At 39.7% G+C, this 5601-nt stretch overlaps 1 long non-coding RNA gene across 1 annotated transcript; it reads left to right on the plus strand.

Annotated features, from left to right (window-relative positions):
- The first annotated feature begins 386 nt into the window (after positions 1-386).
- LOC124901478 (uncharacterized) lies at positions 387-1548 on the plus strand. Its single transcript, XR_007059902.1, has 2 exons — positions 387-620; positions 1391-1548. It is a non-coding gene; the product is annotated as an uncharacterized LOC124901478 (long non-coding RNA).
- The last annotated feature ends 4053 nt before the right edge of the window (positions 1549-5601 follow it).

Here is a 5601-nt window from a genome sequence, read left to right on the forward strand (position 1 = left end):
TCTTGGAGCTCACAAGATATATCCTTGTGAGCAAATTAAGAGGGAGACCCTCTGAGGAGATATGTAGCCTTCTATCTTTGTAGCTATTTATTTAGGAACAAACTGGGAGGCAGTTTTGTGTGACTCAATTCCTAAGCTTAACTTTTCTCTTTGGCATAGTGGTTTGAGGTCCTGAGATTTTTATTTTACTTTCACAGATACAACCATAATAACCTTGAGATAATGCTTGAAGCAGTAAAGTGAGGACTGGAAAATAAATCATGGTAGGTGGATTGGTGAGGAGCAGAATTCTAGGTATCACAATACGTGTGGTGTGTGTAGTGTTGTCTTGTCTTGTCTTTTAATTCTTTTCTTTTCTTTTCTTTTCCTTTTCTTTTCTTTTCTAGTGTCCTGAGGCTTCCACTCAACACACGCTAAAACCTCAAAGCAGACATCAGTATCAACAGAGATCCTAGAGCAGCTTTTTAGAGCTGACTTGAGGAGAAGGTGAGGGGTCTCTTAATACTAATAGAGAGTGGGGGAAATCTCATTTATTTTTTTTTCCATTCTCTAGTGCCCCAGTCCCCAATCAATCTTTTGGTGGTAGCAGTAGTGGCAGCAGCAACAACAAAGATACACAGGTATGTAAAACAATAATGAAGGGAGTGGGTTCTTTCCTTCTGATTAAAACAACTATAATCCCAGGAGAGCAGCATGAAACCACATTTCCCGTGTTTCTCTCTTTCTTTCTCTTTCTTTGCCTACCTCACTCTTTCTCCTCAAATGCTTCTCTCCAGCAAAAAGGCCTTTCACACTAGATGAGTTCTGACTCAGCTTAAATACAGGCAGCATTGCAAATGGGGTTTTCCAGGGAACCACTAGACAGATCAAGTGATTATAATTTTCTCAGAAGGAGGCACTGAACTAGCTCAAGTTTGGTTCCTCTCCCTCCAGTGGCTTCCAGGCTGCTCGTTTTCACCATGAATATTGGCTGTTAGTATTTTAGGCTACTGAAAAATCTGAAAATGGGATGGAACTAGGGCTGGTTACAACACCACAAAGCTCATTTTGCAAAGATGCAATTATGCTGACTATAACAACAGGAGGCAGCCAAATGCCTAGGCAGATAGGTATGAGTATCTGGTGAAGCCCCACCTCCAAGCCAAAGAGAGTTTAAAGCCTGAAAGCCAAGCTACAAGTTAAATCCTTGGACCAGTTTGAGAACCTATCTTCCTGTTTGACGTGCTTTCCTCTGATTGATCCTCACCCTTCACCTATTTTACATATACCTACCCTTTCCTAATTAGTTTTCTATGCTGTCCTGCCCACCTTTGATTGGTGTCTTTGCTTTAACCTTTTGTGCATACTCACAAACCAATCAGCATGCATTCTCCATCCTGTGCTTATAAAGAACCCAGACTCATTCAGTAGAGGACGAGATGGCTTGACTTCAGGGAAGAGACAACCTGACTTCAGGGAAGATGACCTGCACTTTCCAACCCCTCTCCAGTTCCCCTCTCTGCTGACAGCCATTTTCATCACTCAATAAAATTCTCCACCTTTACTATCCTTCAATTGTCCACATGACTTCATTCTTCTTGAATGTGGGACAAGAACTTGGGACCCACTGAGTGCAAGTACTCAGAAAGGCTGTAACATCAGCCCTTTGCCCTTGTTGGAGGAAGGTAGCCACCCCACGTGACGCGGCAGCATTGAGCTGCTAAAGGAGCATCGTAACTCCCCCTCTAGGGCTTCAGGGTCACAGGCACCCTCACCTGGGCACTACTGCATTCCCCTCTAAGTGACACATCTAGTCTCGCTGTGGGCCCTGCATGGAGTTTGCTCCTATGTCAGCACCCAGAGAAGCTGGCCAGATCCTGCTGAGAAAAATCCTACATCACCGATGCAACCAGTTTTCTTGAACAGATTCTGCCTAAATTGTTACAAGCTTTTGGCTAATTTCTAAAGTTCTGATCAGGTTGAATTTTATTATATTTGCAAGTTTTTGTTGTTGCTTTTATGGAGGAAGAAATTTTTAGACATCCTTCCCTAACCATTTTCACTAACATCACGTAACTAAAGATTTATATCTGCCGTATAATTTAATGTTTTTATTTACTACAATTTGTCTTTTTTCTTTTTTCCCTTTCTCTCTTCCTTCTCCTTTTCCTTCTCTTCCTCTTTTTCTTTTCTAATTTCTGTTGCTCAGATTGAAATCTCTTCCAATAGCTCAAAATTTACATATGATTTTTTTTCTTCTGGTGGTTACCCCTAATTTACCAAGAATCCACAATGGGACACTGTTTTTCTGCCCTTTTTCTAAAAGTTTTAAATGTTCATTTCTTTCTCACAAAAAAATGACAAATGTAACACAACTATATCAAACTATTCTTGTCAGCTGACTCCTGTCCCCAGATATTCTCATATAATGTTGTTCACCTGGTGGGACACTAACACTGACTACCTGATTAAAACTATGCCTATGTAGTCACATGCATCACTGAAAGCTCTAGCCTAAGCCATCCTCTTTGACGTTCTTTCCCACCACCCTCTTCTTTACTCATGGCACTTGATCACATTAATATTCCAATCTGATGGTGAAACACATTTAGTTCTTTACTCCCTCATGATTTTTACACTTCTTTTTCTTTTTTTCTTCTTCTGTACTTAAATATTTTTCACTATACCACTGTTGTCTTACTACATGGTTCTGTTACCTATTTTAATCCTGAGGTCTGACAGTGTTTTTGGAAGGTGGAAATTTCTCCATTCATTACACTTAGGTAATAGCACCATGTAAACCATAAGATGTTCCATGAGATATAACTGAGCTCTGTGGGTTTAGTTACATCCTGCATGAAATAGACTATTTCATAGTTACTTTGCTTAAAAGATTATTGTTATCAACATCATGTTTTCAATAAATTTTTGCTTAAAATTAAAATAATATATTTAATTTGCTCTGTATCACCAAGATGAATGTCTTATCATATAATAAATCTGATTTCAGCCTCCTAAAATTGGAATAAACATTTTTATGACTTTTCTCCTTAAAATTCTATAAGAAACTGAAGCATGTATCTTTTTGGGATACAACTTGGTTTTAAATTCCAGACAATATAGATTATTTTCCTCTATTCATGTTTTAAAACTTGATTATGAAACTAGAACAAATGCAGCTGACTGATATAGTCCTCTCTTGACAAATGCACACAAACAATAATTAACCTGAACGAGAGATATATAGCTACATCCAGAGAAGATAATTCTTTCTATATATCAGAGAAATACAAATCCTTCATTATTTAGAGTCATCTCTCTATTTTTTTAAGATCCTGAAAACATTAATTGTAAACACTAATGGGAATTACTAGAATGCTCCTAGATACAGAATAAGTTCCAAATTTAGTCTTAGCAGCTGTAAGCAATCATCTAACCGAATTACCTGGAGGAAAATGGAAACAGGGCAGATGCTGGCCAATTACCATAAACTAATTGTAGCAGGGCACCTGGTATGGAAAGAAGAGTAAAGCTTTTATTAGGCTGGAAAAAAGAAGCTATTATTTGGGGGAAATTCAAGCTGTTTCTGTCTACCAGGGGGGAAACTAAAATTTGCCTTCAGGAAAGACTCTCGTATTCTAAAAGGGCCCTTATAGTAATGCAAGCAAGTACCTACTTATTATTTTGGGGGAACTTTCATATACAGTGGAGAAGTCTAAATATGGATGCTCCCGAATGAGCTTAATAATATGAACTGAAAATCTTTGACAGAACTGTGACACATTAGAGTTATAGGTTTGTTTTTTCAAACATGGATTATAACTTCCAATTACATTGAAATTATGACTTGTTCTTGATAGGTCTGTGATTTTTGTCCAAGAGAATTATTCACAAGAGATCAGAAATACAGATAGTGGAAGGAAATATAAAATATACTTGCCTTGACACTGAAGAGTCTAATTGCAATGTTGTCATTAAAGGCTGAATAACTTGTATCTGTGAAATGTACCTCAGTGATTATTCTGTCTGGGTCATTGGGAACTATCTCACAGTGATGGATGAGGTATAAGTTTCTCTGAGAAAGAACAGATATTTTATTGTCAGTCATCCTCAGAAAAGTTTGATTATAGGGCAGAAATAAAGTGAACATTGAAGTAAGAGAGAAATTAATTTCTTTTTTGTTATTGCTGCCTGGGAACATTTTAGCCAATACTCTTGGATGTAGACACATTGGAAGCATTCCTGACTGTTAGAGTTTGCTGACCCTCAACTGAAAGCAAAATAAGAACAGAAAGGGATGTAAACTCTTAAAGTATTCCAAGGTCAGTGTATGAGTACATTTTCACTCTGCTGATAAAGACATACCCAAGACTGGGCAATTTACAAAAGAAAGAGGTTTAATGGACTTACAGTTCCACATGGTTGGGAACTGTAAGTTAACAATTATGGCAGAAGGCAAGGAGGAGCAAGTCACATCTTACATGAATGGCAGCAGGCAAAAAAAGAGCTTGTGTAGAGAAACTCCCATTTTTAAAACCATCAGATCTAATGAGACCCATTCACTATCATGAGAACAGCACAGGAAAGACCCACACCCATGATTCAATCATCCCTCTGGGACCCTCCCACAACATATGAGAATTATGGGAGCTAAAAGATGAGATTTGGGTTGGGACACAGAGTCAAACCATATCATTCCACTCCTGGCCCAAATCATATATCTTATATCTTCACATTTTAATCTTATATTTTATATCCTCACATTTCAAAACCAATCATGCCTTCACAACAGTCCCTCAAAGTCTTCACTCATTTTAGGATTAACTCAAAAGTCCACAGTCCAAAGTCTCATCGAGACAAGGCAAGTCCCTTCTGCCTATGAGACTGTAAAATCAAAAGCAAGTTAGTTACTTCCTAGTTAAAATGGGGGTACAGGCATTGGGTAAATACAGCCATACCAAATTGGAGAAATTGGCCAAAATGAAGAGGTTACAGGCCCCATGCAAGTCCATAATCCAGCAGGTTAGTCAAATCTTAAAGCTCCAAAATGATCTCCTTTGATACCATTTTCCACTTCCAGGTCACACTGATGTAGGAGATGGGCTCCCACGGTCTTGGGCAGCACTGCCCCTTTGGTTTTGCAGGGTGTACCCCCTCCAGGCTGCTTTCACAGGCTAGCATTGAGTGTCTGCGGCTTTTCCAGACACATAGTGCAAAGTTGTCAGTGGATCTGCCATTCTGGGGTCTAGAGGATGGTGGCCCTCTTCTCACAGCTCTACTAGGTGGTGCCCCAGGGGCTCCCACCCTGTATTTCCCTTCTGCATTGCCCTAGCATAGGTTCTCCATGACAGCCTCGCCCCTACAGCAAACTTCTGCCCAGGCATTCAGGTGTTTCTATACATCTGAAATATATGGGGTGGTAACAACACCTCAACTCTTGGCTTCTGTGCACTTGCAGGCTCAATACCACGTGGAAGCTGCCAAGACTTGAGGCTTGCATCCTCTGAAGCCATGGCCTGAGCTCTACATTGTCCCCTTTCAGTCATGGCTGGAGCAGCTGGAACTCAGGGCACCGAGTCCCTAGGCTGCACATAGTACAAGGAACCTAGGCCGGGACCACAA

Source organism: Homo sapiens, chromosome 6 (genome assembly GCF_000001405.40).
Source record: "Homo sapiens chromosome 6, GRCh38.p14 Primary Assembly".
Taxonomy (NCBI): Eukaryota; Metazoa; Chordata; class Mammalia; order Primates; family Hominidae; genus Homo; species Homo sapiens.